The sequence below is a fragment of the Homo sapiens genome, chromosome 14 (genome assembly GCF_000001405.40).
Source record: "Homo sapiens chromosome 14, GRCh38.p14 Primary Assembly".
NCBI classification, from domain to species: domain Eukaryota; kingdom Metazoa; phylum Chordata; class Mammalia; order Primates; family Hominidae; genus Homo; species Homo sapiens.
In genome coordinates this window covers 24,973,503-24,991,533 of record NC_000014.9, presented here as the reverse complement: position 1 = coordinate 24,991,533, position 18,031 = coordinate 24,973,503, and the positions used below count along the sequence as shown (strand labels likewise).

Below are 18,031 nucleotides of genomic sequence, written 5' to 3'. Positions count from 1 at the left end.
CTCTGTGTATTTAAGACTCTGAATTGGCTGTCATTTTACTATCCACACCTCTTAACAACATCATATTACACATTCGCATTAATCTGCATTCTCTCAATGACCTGTATAAACTGATTGGGGCAGCTGTTAGGCCTACTGTATTAATAAAGAAAGTAAGACACATACTTGCAGATTTTAATTTTTTGACAATATTCATTGCTTTTGTTGGTTCTTTTGGTTGCAAGTAATAGCAGGTCATTCCAATTACTTTAGGAAAAGAAGAGTTTTTCATAAGCCTGCATATGTACTGGAAGTGGGGATGACTAGATGAGCAGAAGTTCTGGATGCTTCCTTTTCTCCTCTCTCCTCCTCCTCCTCCTCTCTCTCTGCTCTTCTCCTCCTCTTTCTCTTCCTCCTCCTTCTCTCACTCATCTCCTTCTCCTCTCTCTTCCCCCTCTCTGCTTTCCTCTTCTCTCCTCTGCTGCCTCTCCTCTGTCTTCTGTCTGCTCTCCTCTCTCTTCTGTCTCTCTTCTCTTTCTCTCTCCTCCTACTCTCCTTTTTCTCTTCTCCTCCTTTCTCATGCTCTCTCTCCTTTCTTCTCTCTCTGCTCTCTCCTCCTCTGCTCTCTCCTCCATCCTCTCCCCTCCCTTCCCTCTCCCTGTCCCCTCTCTGCCTCTTCCTCTCTCTCCCTCCTCTTCTCTCTGCATATCTGCATCACCCTTTCCTCAACCTACAGACCAGTTTTCTTTGTGGCATTTGCTTGTATGTGATCAACCTTCTTCTCTCAGCCTCTTTCTGCATAACTGACCTTAAAGCTTCAGCTCCCACTACTAATTGCTCTGTTTTCTTTCAGGATCTAATTGACCCAGCTTATCTTTTTTTTTTTTTTTTTTTTGAGATGGAGTTTCATTCACTCATGTCCAGGCTGGAGTGCAATGGCATGATCTCGACTCACTGCAACCTCCGCCTCCCAGGTTCAAGCAATTCTCCTGCCTCAGCCTCCTGAGTAGCTGGGATTACAGGCCTGCACCATCACGCCCGGCTAATTTTGTATTTTTAGTAGAGATGGGGTTTTGCCATGTTAGTCAGGTTGGTCTCACACTCCTGACCTCAGGTGATCTACCCACCTCGGCCTTCCTAAGTGCTGGGATTACAGGTGTGAGCCACTGCGCGCGGCGCAGCTTATCTTTTCAAGCAAGGTCATATTGTAGCTGGATTGATTCTTCCTAAGTCGGGCCTTTCTCAACTCTCCCCATCCTACTCAGCTTGGAACAGGGAAGCATACCCATGTGGTGCATAAGATCAGGAAGTTGGAAGCTTCCTTCAGAAGCACAAAGTGATGAGAAGCAAGACATTCTGAGGCATGACCCTTCCCCGGCCTGGCTCGTAACTCATTTCCTACACACAGTTCTAAAGATCTCCTCTTCCAATGTAAGCCAATCCTTATAGGTAAAACCACATATTCACTTAACCTTTCCCCAACAGGAAGTGTCCAAAGTCATAGTCAGCTCTTGCTGACTGTGGGACCATTTAAAAACCATTGTCTCCATCTGAAGCCACAATTCTCAATGATCTCTGTCACAATTCTAGTTCTGTCACGATCCATTTGAACCATTCTGCAACCCATGGACTACATGGCACATGTAACCACAGTACATGCTTAACGTATAAAGGTGAGGCGTATCTTAATACTCATGTAAGAAAGGGCAGAAGGCTACACCTCCCAGTCTGTCTGTGAGAAAGACACGTCATACCTGGGTCACTGGCTCAACATATGCTCTGTCTAGTAGAACAGAGCCCACACTCGTGATGGGCAGCCTCCTTGCTTGCATTCTGAGGCCAGATGCTGGGAAATAGGTTAATTGGAGGATCTTAATTAAGCATGAAGACAGTCCTCACCTTCATACATTAGGCGTGCACCATACTGCCATCCCCCTCCCCACAAACACACATTTCACATTCTTGGTATTTGTTTCTTCAGAGCCTGCTTTGTGGCACTTTATCAGAGCAGCTGGCATATTGGGAGAGGGATAGAATATAAAGTCTTTATAAAATTCTAAGATGACTATGTGATATGAATATTTGGCTTGTTTTTTGTTTATTTTGATGCCCTTAGTTCAGTTCCCCCAAATCGCTGTGACGATTTCTTGATCTCTGCTTTACTGCCCCATTGGGCAGTACTTTTTTATTTTTAAACTGTGCTTTACCTTTCTGAAAATATATTCTTACAACTTTCCCAATCATGCTAATTAATTTAGTATCTACACCAGCTTCTGTATCCTCAGTAACCAGACAGTAATGAATTAGTAAACAGGCCAGTTATTAGAAAAATAGAACAATCTGGATGATGGTCACCTGAGAGGCAGCCTCAGTTTGGATGGTGGAATAGGGAGTAGTGGGGTCTGGTGATTTGGAGGTTGTAGAGATGGTGGGGGGTGCGAGCCTAATGTTGCCAGGTCTTCCCAGTTTTCAAGAGAAACTGGAAATATGTTTTACATGAAGTATATATTTTTAGAAATATACATGAGCCAAGAAAACTTATTCTTGCAAAACTTTCCGTTTGTAACCTCAGGCCTGTTCCTTCCCACTTCAGTGAACTTCTGTACGTAGGTGGGGATGAACATTTTTAAAGTAGTTTTCTGCCTACTTCTCCCACTTCAAGAACACTTAGTACCAAATGGACGTTTGAAGAGTACCTCTTTGCCTCAGACACCTCTTTCCTGTGGTGTCTCAATGACCGTTTATTTTTTCTTGCTCTTCTACAAGGGTTCAGGTTCTTTGCAGAAATGGTTCCCTGCAGAGTATTCTCTGCTTTCCACCTTGGATTGGGGGCTGTCTGTCTCCGTCGGCTGAAGCAATTCAGGGCACACCCATTGCACAGAACCCAGGTGGAAGCAGAGGCTGGAGCAGGCATATGTTCTAGGTCACTCACACAGAGCTAACAGCTTATTGAAATGTTGCATGGCTTTTTCTTGAAGCAGATCTACCTGCATAATCCATGCAGGCAGACTTAATTAATTTTTTTAATTACATTTCAAGGGTAGGCTTAATAGAGTAAGTATCTCCTGATCACCAGCCTCTGAAAGATTAAACTGTACTTGCCCCTTCTGCTGCTGTGAAGCAGCAACTTCAGAGTCTTAATTTTGTGTAGTTGGTTACCTGTTTTCCTTGTCTTTCTCCTCAACGAGACAATTTTTTCTTTGAATATATCTGAAATGCCTGTGATCTCCAAGCCTACACAGAGCCCAGGTTGTGGTAATTACTCACTAAATGTTTGTTGAATGAAGAAGGATAGGTCCTGCCCCTAGATGGATTTTCTTTGTTACCTCTGTTAATAAGGACCAGTATGCACTAGGGACAGAAATATTCATCAAAGCCAGATGAATGTCCTCTTAGAAGTCTAGGAGCACTTTGGCCCCGCATTATGTGATTTCTCTATCTGGTGGTTGGTGCTGAATGACAGTGACTATTATTCTTTATTCCTTTGCCTAATTGCTGAACACACAAGACCTGTCTATATTGATTTCTTCTCAGCTGCTGCATTGATTGGCTAACTTGTTGATTGTTCTTCTTCCCCACTAGAATGTAAGCTCCATGAGGGAAAGTACTTTGTTGCTCTTCTTCTCCTCAGTATCCTCAGCGTTAGGACAATGCAGTGATATTGAATGAGTAAGTGTGTATCTTATTCCAGCTTTGCTCTGCTCTTTGTCCATTTTCTGTTTGTTTTTCTCCTTTTTAAGAATATGTTCACACCACTCTGCATCTCCCTTGGGTAACAACACCTCACAGTGGGAAAGACTTGACTTGGCTCTTGCCATTATCTTCCTGCTTAGGCTGGCCATTCCCTATGGAGTGGCAGAGGGTAGCAATGGAAATGATATGGGATTGGAGGAGGAAGACCCATTCCTTCTCTTTATGTGTCAGTAGAGACAATCATACCTCTCTCGCAAGTGTGGAAGATGAAATAGGATGGCACTTGAGGAAAGGCTTTGTAAAATACTCTGTGATGAACATGCTTTTGCAAATAAGAAGCTGACATGCTGATGTGCTTGCCTGCTTTTCAAGAATCAGGACACCCCAGGTGGGAGCAGTTGGACCCAGGGAGCTGATTTCCATAACCTCCTTCTTCATCCTTCACAACAGTCCTAGGAAGTGGGTGGTACTATCCTACTTTAAAGGTGAAGATGCAGGTCTCAAAGATGTAGGATTTTGCCCAAATATTATTCATTGAGTAAAGGCAAAGACAGGCTCAGACCTAGGTCCTGTGATGACAAATGTAAAAACTTCTTGTCACCATCCAACATCTGTCAGGTCGAGTCAGGGGAGAAGTGACTCCTGTACCTTGGCCCCCAGCTTTTGGATGGTGATCCCGATCACATTTGTTTGAATGTCTTTGTAATGTGTTAGTGTGTGGTACCATTAAGCTTGTACTAGTGTTAATTGAGTTCATATTAGGGTAGTATTCAATTGATAGATTTTTTTTTCCTTCCTATCAAACACTGCACAGCTAGTTAGGTCAGAAGTTAGTTATTTTCTGGAACATGCTGATTAAAAAGGGGTTGACATTGAATGACAGAGGAATTGATTGAATAGAGCAGAGCCTGAATTTGCATATGGACTTTGAGTCTGACCTGGATTTGTAGGCTATTCTGTTACATCTCAAGACATAGAATAGAGATGACCACCTATCCACCCATTCCACTCACATGGAGATTTCACCATTGAATGTGCTCAATCCTAACCAAGGCATTCTAGTTTGTAGCTTAAGTGAACCTGTAAAGACTCTCCAGTTACCCAACAGGACCTTGTGCAGCTGTGTGTGGAAATCAGGATAATTCCAGTGTTTCTGAGAGTGTTTTAATAGAGCACTGATTACAGATTGCAGGCACCTGGTGGTGTTTTTGTGCTGCGGCTGAAGGGTGCAGTTCCAAAGACAAGAACTGGGCTAGACGGATTCCTATTTTCCCACCCTGTTGTTTACCAGGGCCTGGAATAGGTACTGAGAAACCCTGTCAACAGCTGATCCAGGCTCCTGGTATGGTTAGTGTGTGCTTTCAGGAGACCACCAACACCAGCACATTAATTCCCAAACCGAGAATGGACATGTGACTTTTCCCAGGGTGTATTCTTCTGCCAGTGGCTCAGAGCCTGGAGACTGTAGAAGGGGCTCAGTTGGAGTCAATACAGAGGCCTGTGGGTTGGAGCTTGGCCAGAGTTAGTCTGTGCTTCTTGGACTATCCTGGGCTGTTCCGCTTGGGCAGACCATCATTGCTTTTGGCCTCAATAGCCAAATGAGAAAACAAACTGTGAAAATTCAAGGGGAAAAAGGTGATAGCCAAGAGTTAAGGTTTAGAACTCTATGGGCTAGAGGTTTTCTAGTTCAGCACTTAATTTCAAGCCAATTCCCAAGAAAAAAAATTTAATCTGAGAAGAGTCCCCACTGTGATTAATCATGTTTTCTCTTTCTCTGTTATCATCATTCCCCCAACACACCACCTGTTCTCACCTTCCACAAATTCGGCACTGCTCTACTATTTACATTATCATTTCATGTTTCTCTGTTTTTTACTTAAAAAAGTCGAGAGCAATATTTAGCCCTAATATTGGTTTTGCTACTCTTCTGTTGTGTGACTTTGGAATCACCCTCTGGACTTCAGTTTCCTTATGTGTTAAGTGAGGTAATTGGATGAGATAGACCATCACTAGGATCACTTCCAGGCATTAAACTTTTAAGCTTAAGAATGCCACATTTCTGCTGTGCCCACACTTTTTAACTGAGGTGTAAGCTGCTGGTGTGTAAGGCCCAAAAGGGTGTCAAATAATGTGGTTGGTTAGCTTATTTGTGAATATCTTGCTGAGATCCTTCTCCGTAAAGTAAAATGATGAAATTCTTCTTGCAGAGCCTTTGAAATTGGTGAAACTCAGGGCATTGCTGCTGGAGAAGCTAAGGTTCCTTGAAGCACTGTCAGCAAAAGATAGAAGGCCCAGAAAAAGTGGGAACAGGAAGGTAACAGGGAGGGTCCAAGTTGTGCTTTTGAAATGCCAGAGTGGGGGTAATACAGCAAAGGAAGTGGAAGAGGACTTCCCTTGAGAACCAGCAGAAACCTTTGAAAATGTGCCTTTCATATTTAAGCGTTTTCCGGTTTGGAAAGTAGCCTGCAAGGCTCATAAAACTGCCTTGTGGCAGCCATCCAAGATCTCAGGAGTTGACTCCTGTTGCAAACTGCAGGTCTCGAAATGATGGTGGTGAGCAGCTGTGATGAGGCTTTCATAGGCATTGTCCCCTTTATGGAGTTAGAGATCTGTTGCAGAATCTCTCTGCTAATGTATTGTCAACTCCCATTTTTATTTGTAGAATCAAAACAAGCTCTATCCTAATAAGGCTGTGCAACTCCTTTGCCAACGAACCAGCATGATATGCACACACAAGATGAACAGATATCCAGAAAGAATGACTTCAAACTACAGCTCGATTTGTTATCTTTGTAGCTGCTGGGCTAGGGTGATAACAGTATCTTGTACACCAGAAAATGTGGCCAGAGGCAAAAGTGTAAAGCAGTTGAATTTGTCCTGTTTTACCTAGAATGCATTCCAGCCTCACCTTTCCGTACCTTTCTCATTTCTTCAATATGAGATAGTAAGAAAGAGCAAAGGCTTCTGGAGTCATGCATCTTAGGTTTAAGTCCCTGCTCTGCCCTTGAGCTGTGTGATGTAGGACAATTTACTTAACCAATTAGCTTTAGTTTCCTCATCTGTAAAAGTCTCTGCACCCGGAGTATAAGCATATTAATAAGGATTTTTTGAATACCAAAGTCACATATCTAAGTATATACATCTCTTATGTCAGAATTTGAGGTAGCTGACAGATGGGGAAATTGCTTTTGGAGGCTGAGAAGGAAGCCTTTCGATCACCATTCAGATTGTACTACACTGGCATGAATTCGTGAAGTTGACCCTTGGGGAGATCAGATAAGTTGGAATTACAGTCCTTGGCCAGATCCTTAATGAGATCAGAAGTGTTCATAAACCTCACTGGAAATTTCATTTGGGAAATTGAGGCATTGAAGGGCACAGTGTCTTGCCTTTTAAACAGAGTAGGTATGTGTAAAATGGCTCCTCAGAGTGTCACATTGCTTCTGTGCCTCTCACTGCTGTGAAGACGTCATGTTGGAGTATAACACTGATGATATATCAATTACAGAAAACTTACTCAAACTCTTCCAAGAAATTGTAAAGTGGTGATATTCTCCAAATCAGCGATTCAAATAAGGAAGGTTTCTTTTTTCTTTTTCTTTGGTTTCTTTGTTTTTGTTTTTGTTTTTTTAAGACAGAGTCTCACTCTGTTGCCAGGCTGGAGTGCAGTCGCACGATCTCGGCTCACTGCAACCTCCACCTCCCGGGTTCAAGTGATTCTCCTGCCTCAGCCCCCCAAGTAGCTGGGACTACAGGTGCATGCCACCACGCCCGGCTAATTTTTGTATTTTTACTAGAGACAGGGTTTCATCATGTTGGCCAGGATGATCTTGATCTCTTGACCTCGTGATCCACCCACCTTGGCCTCTCAATGAATAAGGAATGTTTTAAAATTGATGTTTGATTTAGAGAATACTTTAAAGAAGTTTTGCTCTGATTTAAAAAATTTTAGAAAGCATATAAACTTGTTTCAACTGTATTTTAGGTTTTTATAGGTTTCAAACTCTTAAAAAATGGAGGCTTTCTTTAAAGGCTCATTATTTTTTCACTGTTATATTTTAAGTCTTTTCCAAAATAGAATTAGCTTAAATCAAGAAAACTTAAAATTTACCTAAAGCTTGAGTCAACAAATATCTAATATAAAAAGCTCATGTTATGCTTGCTGGAGAGTTTATGTTTCTGTTTGTTTCTTTATTTTTAATGGTAGACACATCTTCTTGTTTTCTTTTTAAATCTGCAATTTCTGTTATCAATCATACCCTCCTCTAAGGGGAAAACAACTGACCTACTATGCAAACTTTTTACTTCCTTTCATATATGGGTTTAGTGCTTTTCCTTCTGTCTTTTCTTCAGTGTAAGCAAAAGAAACAAACTAATTCAGCAAGTAGTGCAGAACCTAGCAGATAATTAAAATGTTTATTTTCATGTTAAGTCAATCTTTATGTGGCTTTTGCCTGTATTTGAACATGGTTGGAATAGATTTGGCTATTTCCAGTGCTGTCTGCTGTAAGTGATGTTCTCAAGTCAACATATTGTTTTCTTAGTTTGCTGACTAGTTGTTGGATACTACAATGACATGATTGCTCAGTAAAAATAGGGGAATGTCAAAAAGTTGAGCTCTTTTTAATTTTTTTCTGTTACTACCTTCCTCTTTTGATGTGGTTCAATTCACTTTTCAAGGTTTGTTCTATGTTTTAGATTGATAATCTCGTCAGTATCCATAATACACCAATGAGTGTATTCTAGCCTGGCCTTCACTATGATTCTTTATTTCTACCCATTACTGTAGAAAGGGTACATGGATACTGTAGAACTGGCTTAACTGGTCCTTGGAATTTAAACTTGTGAATGTGGAGTTCCTATTAATAGAATCCCTTGGAATGAGTGATGCTTATGAAATCTTCGTCTTACCTCAATAAATCCTCCAAATGACATATCCTATGTAGCTTTTGTTGGTGGTGTTATTTTTTGGCTTTGTCATATCATTTGTGAAAGTTAGGATGTAGTAATTGACAAGATTAAAAGGTACACCCGCAATGTAAATAAACTTGTGTAAACACAGATCTTGTGGTCAGGGTTTGTTCTTTGGATATCAGACTTACAAGAAGAATGTGTATACTGGACATATAAACAAGGAAAGAGGAGATGAAAATAATCTAGGTTTATAGTTGAAGCAGACATGAGTCATGGGCTCAGAGAATCCTGTGAACATAATGTCTTTTACACAGGGAGAGTTAGTATGTACAGGGAAAAGAAAGCCAATCGGGTCTCATAGTCTTTGGCAGTCTGATGGCAGAAAAGCAATTCCTCGTTTCCTTCCTTAAAGAATTAAACAGTATGACCAGGGCTGTTGTGTACGGTTGTGTTGTTTTTACATTGTTCCAGAGTTATTCATCTAAGAGAGCAAGCGCAGGCTAACGCGTAGCTGGTGCTCTGTTCACCAGGTTGAAGGCTCCAGCATTGAGCTGCAATTGGACAGAAGAAGGGTACCATTTTCTTCCTACAAAGTTATCTTCTAAGCCTTGTCATTATTCACAGCGTTTGCTCTCCTTTCTCACAGCTTTTTGAGGGTGGGAGTTTGCTAATTTACTTTGGGGTTCTCAACACTATGCCTGGACTGGAGTTGAAAAAAGAATATGGTCAACTTATAATTGGGTCTCAATAAAATGTATTTTGATAGGTCTTCCAGGTTTGGTGGAAAGAATGTGCCTTAAAACCGCAATTTTCAAGGAGCACTCCACTGAGATTTTAGTGGAGTACGAAGACTGTCCTGCAGAATCTCTGACCTGTTTCCTTGTTTCAAAATCCAGAGATAATCATATTAACGTTTTGGCAAACTATTTTCTAGACATCTCTTTATGCATGTAAATATACACATAAAATTGCAAATTCATGAGCTCATTTTCTGTTTTATAACCTCCTTGTTTTCACTCTGTATTATTTCTTGGCAATTTTTCCAAGTCAATATCTGTAGGTCTGTGCCACAATTTTAAAAGGATATGTAATATTCTGTTGGGTGGATGGGCTATACTGTATTTAACCAATGAAGATTGATGGGTATTTAGGTTGTTTATGATGATTTTTTCTTAAAAATGGATCTGAGGTAAACATGCATCTGTAACACACACATGGTGTGTGCATGCTCACACCATTTTTTCTAATGGTAGAGTTGCTGGCTCAAAAGGTTTCAACTCATATTAATCTCTGTTGGAGAGGAATTATAACACTTCCTCATAATCCTTGCACCAATTGGGTGTGTTAAAAATGACATAGTTTACCCTTCATAAAAACACATATCTGGGCTGGGCACGCACCTGTAATCCCAGCACTTTGGGAGGCTGAGGCAGGTGGATCACTTGAGGTCAGGAGTTGGAAACCAGCCTGGCCAACATGGTGAAACCCCATCTCTACTAAAATACAAAAATTAGCCGGGCATGGTGACATACACTTGTAATTCCAGCTACTCAGGAGGCTGAGGCAGGAGAATTGCTTGAACCTGGGAGACAGAGGTTGCAGTGAGCCAAGATGGTGCCACTGCACCCCAGCCTGGGCAACAGTGAGACTCTGCCTCAAAAAAAAAAAATACTCACATACATATCTGAAGATTCTAATTTACAGTTTTGAAGCAAACTTTGGAAGATATATTCAGTGGCTCTCTTGATTACACATTTGGGATTAGATATAGAAATACTTTGTAAATCATGAAGTGCTATGTAAACTTCAATGATTCATTACTAGGGCTTTACAAAATATTTGCCATGTACACTTGTTTCTGGGGTCTTTTTATTTGTTTTATAAGTAATTCATTAAATACAGGGGGAAAACCCAAAGATAGTGGCTCTGGACCTGGTTGTATAGCAGAATAAACTGAAGAAGTCATTCAGAAAACAAGTTGCAGGCCCTAGCCCCAGATCCCCTGAATCTCTGTGAGCAGGACCTGGGCACCCAGGTGATGTTCATGTGCAGTTTTTGTTTGGAGTTTCTACTTTAAGATATTTTTTTTCCTATCTTCAACTATTTTTCTAGCAGAACAGATAATGTTTTTAGTTTTTATTCATATCCCCATTATTTTTCATGTTTAGAAGTTTCTGGCTCCTTTAAGTATGTTGTTAGAGGATTTGCTGAATGTCTATTGATTTTACCCTAATTTTGTAAAGCTTGTGAAGCCTTAAATATGGGTTCTTGGTCTGCTATTCCCATCTGGTTTCTCACCATGGCAAGCCCATCCAATAGCCCTTGTTTGTAGCAATAAAGAGTGATTGAACTTGAAGTGATTGTACTTTTAAGACTTCAAATGTTGTCACCAGATTAAAGTTACCTGTCTATTCTAATAGCATATCTGACTTCCTTTTTAGAATCTACTTATAAGAACTAGTAGTTAAGAGTAGTAGTTGAATTACATGGAAAAACTGGTTGGTGGACTAAAATTTTTGTCTAATTTATTGTTTATTCACATGCCTACATACCATGGAAAGACTAAAGCTTTCAACTTGAGAACTGTCTTATCAAAGAGAAACATTATCTAAGTAAACATTTTGTTAAAAATCAGTAACTCTTTCTTAAACACTTTTAAAGGGGCTAAATTGGCCTCATATTATCTCCTTGATCTTAATATATGACATCAGAAAAAATAAAATTGATTTTCTTTGCATAAAAGCTTGTATATTTTCTGACTACCTGTTAAAGTTTTTGAACTTTGGAGCAAAATTAACATTTTTAGATTTCTAGGTTTAGTGATATATAATAACATCTGTTTTGTAGCATTTAGTATGTCTATATTGTGGCTTTTAAGGGAAGTAATTTAACATTTCTCCATTTAGATTTTAACATTTACAAAATTGTCTTTTTCCTTGTTAAGATTATTGTGTTTCTTTGTCAATAGCTGAGGCATGGAGAAGAAGCAGTTAAGTACAGTTAAGCTTGAATCATATTCATCCTTTGGAATATGACATTGGACAGTGTAGAGGGCTGATTGTGGTAAAGTAAGAGCAGTACTGGAGTCCTTTAGAGGAAGCATCAAAATTATTCAGGCCGGGGATGGTGAAGACCCAAACTAAGGCAGAGGAAGTGAGAATGAAGAAAAGCTAGTCTAGAAATATTAAATCAAATCCACAGGACTTGGTGATTGGTTCGTTATGGGGATTTGAAAGGGTTGAGGGAGAAGGAAGGGTCTAGGTTAGGTCTCAGTGGAAATGCTCAGTCTACAGCTAGGTATATGGGTTTAAAGCCAGAAAGACACTCTGAGTTGGATGCATGATTAGTGTCATCAACATTATAGGTGGGACTTAAAATTGAATTTGTAGAATTTCAAAAACAAAGTGGTAATGCAAAGAAGTCTAATTTTAGAGAATCTTATTTCTCTTATTTCTAACTTATTTGGGTTCACCAAACTGAAGTTCCGTTGAAGTAGGAAAGACTAGCTGATTTTCCCCCCAGAGTCTTCCAGGGTGACATCATCTTGGTTCTTAACTTCAAAGACTCTGAAACTTGTTATCAGCATGCTGACTGCATCTGCTTTAGTGTTGAGACACATTAACTAGCTTATGAGACTGATGTCTAAAATTCTTGGTTACTCATTTACAATAGGAAGTATAATTGTTACATAGTCTAGAATAATTGTGTGGCACAGCCACAAGGCCAAAACTTGATCAGAGGATTGCATGTTAAACATGGGATCAGAACAGAGGAGTTAATGAAGTTAGATCAACTATCTAACAGTATTAAGCTAAATAGATGGCACTGTTGCCTTACCAGAGGAGATTCTTTCTTCTCACATGAAAAATATTTAAGGGCTGTAGACTATACTTCCCTAGAACTACCTGCATGATAATGAATGCCTTAACAATGGAGGTTTTTAATTTGCTGCAGTTCCTACTACTACTCTTGGTCTCCTGACCACAGATGACAAATACCAGTTCCACTACTGGAAACCAAAAATGTTGCATCTTACACCTGTTCCCCTTTGCTTATGCGCTTCATCTACCTGTTCTCTGAGGTCATTTGAGTTTGCAACTCCTAACCTAAAGGATGGTCTTATTTCCTAGTTACTTGGGCAGTGGAAAGGCATCACACTACAGTAGCCATGCATTAACAAGAATGGTATGTATAGATGTGATGGCACAAAGTGAGAAGATCAGAACTAACTGTGATTAGTTTTTTGTAACTAACACTTATGGGAACCAGCTGCTTTGACTTGCAAATCATATTGTAGGTTGGTTTCTTGGATGGAAAAATTTTGTAATTACAACCTGTAGAAGCAGGAAAAGAAAAGGCTTCCATGGGGTGATATAGGTTGGAGTAACTAGTGATCATTGGTGTACCATTGCTGTTATATTCATCTTAATTTCTTACAGTGGGTTCTCAGCCTTGGGATGGACAATGATTTACCAACACTAAGACGTAAGGCTTGATAAAGCTGCTTAGATGGAGAGAAAAAAATCCTGTGCATTGTCTTCCTATATTCTCTCCTGAAATGATTCATCCTTTCCATTCCCATCACTACATTTCTGGTCTAGGTTTTAGCTCCTCTCTAGGCTCAGAGCATTTAAATTAGGTGGCAGAATGACTGCATGGCTGCATGAGAACCAGTTAGAGTTGTTTAAAATACAGATCCCAGGATTCTAATTTGGTGGGTATAAAGGAAGGACCCAGGGGTCTGCGTTTTTGAAAAGCTCTCCATGCTGAATTCAGACATACAATCAGATTTGGGATACTCTTAAGTTATTGCTATGAAGTTATGACAGTACCCCTTTTACTTTCTGATTCTTTTCCATCTAATCTGCTGTGCATTATTACCATTCCCAGGGTGACATTAAAAACATGTATACATGTGTGCTCCACACTGTCCTGTTAGTGTCATTGCCCTGAATAAAAACTTTTGATAATTTCACATAGAATGAATCTGATAATCTCCTAGTGAGTATCCTAAAGAGTGATGCCTATAAATTCCTTATCCTTGTGATACTTAGTACAAAACCATCCCTATAAGAGACTGTTTATCTGTAGGTGGAGGGTCTCACACTGATGGGTGAGAAAGGTGAGGATTTGTAAATAAAGTTGGGTTTCACTTTTACAAATACCTTTGGTATAGATTGCTGCATTTACTCAATTTCTTCAAGTTCAGAGGGATTTTTATCTTTTCATATCATAGTAGGAGAATTAATAAAAATGTTTCATTTTTAAGCATTTTTTAATTATTCAGGCAACAGAATAAGTGTTCTGCATATATTGTTTCATTTAATTCTTTAGTTCCAGGAGGTAGGTGAAGACATCTCTATGTTGTAGTTAATAAACTAAGGGTCTGTAATTTTAAGAGATTTACCCAGAAATCACATAAGTCTTAGGTGTTGGAGTTAAAATTTGAACCTGAGTTTGTTTGATTCTAAAACTTGTGCTCCATGAAGAAGTTACTGGCTTTATCTATTCTCTCTCTCTCTCTTGTTCTTGGTCACTGACTATCAGTATTTAAAAAAAAAATAAAAGGTCATTTCTATTTCTCACCAGTTTTTAAAAAGAACAGGATTTCCTAAGCTTGGTAAAACCACATTATCTCTTTCTTTCCTTTTTCTGACAGATTTTATATGATAAAATGATAGCTTTCTTTTTCTTTTAACTACAGTTTTTGAAAACTGTGGACCTGAGATGAAAAAGCAAAAGCCATGACAGCTGGGAAGGCACTGGTCCGAGAACACCGGGTGAGACAGGGCGCGGTGGCTCATGCCTGTAATCCCAGCACGTAGGGAGGCCGAGGCGGGTGCATCACTTGAGATCAGGAGTTTTGAGACCAGCCTGGCCAACATAGTGAAACCCTATCTCTACTAAAAATACAAAAATTAGCTGGGCGTGGTGGTAGGCACCTGTAATCACAGCTACTGGGGAGGCTGAGGCAGTAGAATCGATTGAACCGGAGAAGTGGAGGTTGCAGTGAGTCAAGATTGTACCACTGCACTCCAGCCTGGGTGATAAAGCAAGACTCTGCCTCAAAAAAAAAAAAAAAAAAAAAAAAAAAAGAGCGCCCAGTCAGCTCAGGACTTTGGCTTGCTTTCTACATTGCTTATCAAATGGTTTGAAGCCACTGTGCTACCACTGGCTTTCTTTTTCACCTGTACCCAAATAGTGAGAGGCAAGTGGCCTTGGAGCTAGAAAATAACCAGTATGTGTTTCTTTCTTTAAAAAAAATAAATAAAAGTCCCTGATAAATTGTAACATCTTGCCTAGGAAAGTCATGGGGTAAATTATGAAATTCTGTTGCCAACTTGTAGGAAATCATACCGTATCAGTTAGTGATCAGCATTTGAAAAACAGGTCCCCCTCCACTGTTGTCATTTTGTTCTTGGCCAGCATGAAGAACCTGGTGGTGATGATAAAATGTTGGGATTGGAGCACAAGTAGATGTGGGTATTAGATCTATAATTTCTAGGATATCTAGATACATATTCTTTGTGTATGTATAGATAGGTATTCTTGTGTCACTAAGAAAACCTGCCCTATTACAGAATAAAAACTAGGAGAAATTTCTTTAACTAGAAAGGTGTTCTTTTTTAATATATCACTTTCCTACCAGGAGGTTATAGATGTGAACAGGTTACAGGTAAACAGTTGTGTGGGTAGCATTTGTGAATCTTGCATTGGGAAGGATGATCCCGTGATCTTTTACTATAAACTATCTGGATTTAAGTGAAACCTCTGATGTAGTTAGCAGTCAACTCCTGGAGAACTGGGACCATGTCTTGATTATTTATTGTATCTCTAATACTTATCATAGAAGTGGCACATAGCAGGTGTTTTTGTAACCAGCTGGCTCAGTTTTACAGCAGTCTGATCAACTCTTTGAGCTGTGTTACTGCAGATAGCTATGCTGTTGATCCATATGCGGGATCTCTGATACTCTGCATGTCCAACCCATGGGCCCTCTCTGTGCCTTTAATTTTGATTTGTTGAATTGCCTGAACAAATATCTATTCATTATTAGGGCACAGACTATTTATGACTAGGATGATGGAATGGAGAAAGTTTACTCAAGTTGCTGTAGAATCTTTTTGGATGACAGGCTTAATATTTCAGATTGAACTTGAACATAATAGATATAAATAAGCAGAGTTAAGACCATTGGGGAAGTACAACTTTTAGAAAACTAAATATAACATGGGGGCTATGTATGTGTGTGTTCTGGGGGGAACTCACTGTGAGTCAGCGTCATACTGCTTTATTTTCTTAATTATTGGGCATCCACTGCCAGTTAACCAGAGGAGCATAACATGTGGGAGCTGCTGGGTAACATTTCCAAAATACTTAGCATTAGTCAGATATGTTTTTAGAATTATGTATCCATTTTGGCTGAAGGAAAATGTGGAGTGTTTGTCAAGGGTACAGAGCATGGTAACTAGATGCAGAGGAGCACTGCAAACTAGAACCCATTGGGAGAAGCTAATAAATAAGAATTCATTACTTAGCGTGATCAAAGGCAGAAGAAGGGTATTAATTTAATGGTCTTCTGTTGCATGTATAGTTATTGTGTAGAAGATGATATAATTATTTCCATTATGAATGGAATTAGGGAAATGGATTTACATTAAAGGAGATTTTGAAGGGGCATAAAGAATTTCTTGACTCTAAGGACTGTTGGACAGTGGAAAGACTTGTATTCTGGAAGTGTGAAATATGTTTCTTACAGAACAGGAATAGAGTGGGTACTGCTTGCCAGTTAGAGGGAGGTGCAGTTGGGGTAGTAATTAACAAACTTTCCAGATCCCAGTTTGTACTACTCATCTCATATTGTGTTTGACATTTTTGGGAAGTAAATAAGTACCCCCTTTTTGTCTTTATTTTTTCATAGTTATTACAAATATGAAGACCTTGCTTTTAATGTTTCTATAATACATTTCAAGCAATTATGAGATTAAACTGTAAATTGAAAATTACTTCACCTGCAAATTCACTTGCTGCTGATTATTGTATGAACCCTTACAATGTTGTCAATTCCAACTTTCCTTTCTTTTCCTTCTTTAAAAGATTCACTGCGTGCTGTCCTCACTTGTTCTACAATGAGTGCCAAATCTGCTATCAGCAAGGAAATTTTTGCACCTCTTGATGAAAGGATGCTGGGAGCTGTCCAAGTCAAGAGGAGGACAAAGAAAAAGATTCCTTTCTTGGCAACTGGAGGTCAAGGCGAATATTTAACTTATATCTGCCTGTCAGGTAATGAGAACCAGATATTAATATTATTAAAATAACTTCCATTTTAAAACAGTTCATTCTGAGGTATCCAGGAGGTTTACATTCACAGGTTTTGTAGGTGTCTGCACTGTCTTGCTCCTTTTCCCCGTTTTTCTGGTCTTCCTCTTTACTGGTGACACCTTGTTTTTGAGGTTGCCGCGTATTGGAAAGGTAGTGAAGTTCAATTCGGGTGTATTTTCCAGTTCATTAAGAGCTTTCGTAAAATGTTTCGCAGACTTGTTTGTCCATACTTGCCCTCACGGGGACACTGACAGAGAATGGGCTATCCTCTGGAATTCTCGTTTTAGAACAGTTGCTGGTATCTGAATAATTGTCATTACTCACAGCCTGACTTTCATTGGCTTTGTTTTTCTAGACAGTTGCCAATAATCAGTAATCACTTGTCTTAAGATAAATATTGGCACCTTATGGAATGTGAGGAGGTTGATTCAGTTCACAAGTCGTTGCTTTGCCTGACAGCCATTGCCTTGTCAAGAAGAGGCATCTGTTTTATTAAGCTTTGAATCTTGTTTTTTTTTTTTCTTTCTCTTTCTGTTTGTGATTGTAGGAGATCTGTGGGATTTACAATGGATTCGTATTAAGATTTTTGAGATAAAATCTGGATAAATTTTTCATGGAGTTATTGGTGATGCTAATCTAAACACATGGAGCATTTGTGATATTTCTGATAATATTTCTTGTATGGAGTGATGGAAGATTTAAGCTTATTTTAGTTTATCTTTTTAAAAACTTTCCTTCAATTGTAGTTTTGGGAATAAAACTTTATGTTTTTGGACCCATTTCTAGCTTTTTAAAAAATTAAACCTTTGATCATTTATCAGAATTTATTTTAGGGTAAAAGTAACTTTTTACCAGAAAGAACATGTAAATTTCTAAGACTGTGTCTTAGATTAAAATGAAGTAAGAACATAGCACTTTGGTAAGAATTATTTTTCAAAGGGCCAGGCGCGGTGGCTCATGCCTATAATGCTCAGCACTTTGGGAGGCCAAGGCAGGAGGATCATCTGAGGTCAGGAGTTCAAGACCAGCCTGGCCAACATAGTGAAACCCTGTCTCTATTAAAAATAAAAAAATTAGCCAGGCATGATGGCACTCACCTGTACTCCCAGCTACTCAGGCGGCT

General features: G+C 39.4%; 1 protein-coding gene across 28 annotated transcripts in view; it reads left to right on the top strand.

The window, feature by feature from the left end:
- The window catches only part of STXBP6 (syntaxin binding protein 6), a 240,694-nt gene that overhangs the window by 58,614 nt on the left and 164,049 nt on the right, over positions 1-18,031 (top strand). For 15 of the 28 annotated variants that reach the window (NM_001394420.1, NM_001394410.1, NM_001304476.3 and 12 more), the window contains one exon: positions 16,684-16,869. The exons of 2 other annotated variants lie outside the window; for them this stretch is intronic. In NM_001394420.1, coding sequence (NP_001381349.1) covers positions 16,716-16,869 — 154 coding nt within the window. In that variant the 5' untranslated portion in view covers positions 16,684-16,715. Of the gene's footprint in view, positions 1-3,561; positions 3,649-5,879; positions 5,987-14,290; positions 14,367-16,683; positions 16,870-18,031 lie in introns of those variants that run through there. 11 more of the 28 variants (NM_001351942.3, NM_001351943.3, XM_024449547.2 and 8 more) reach the window with 6 other exon arrangements.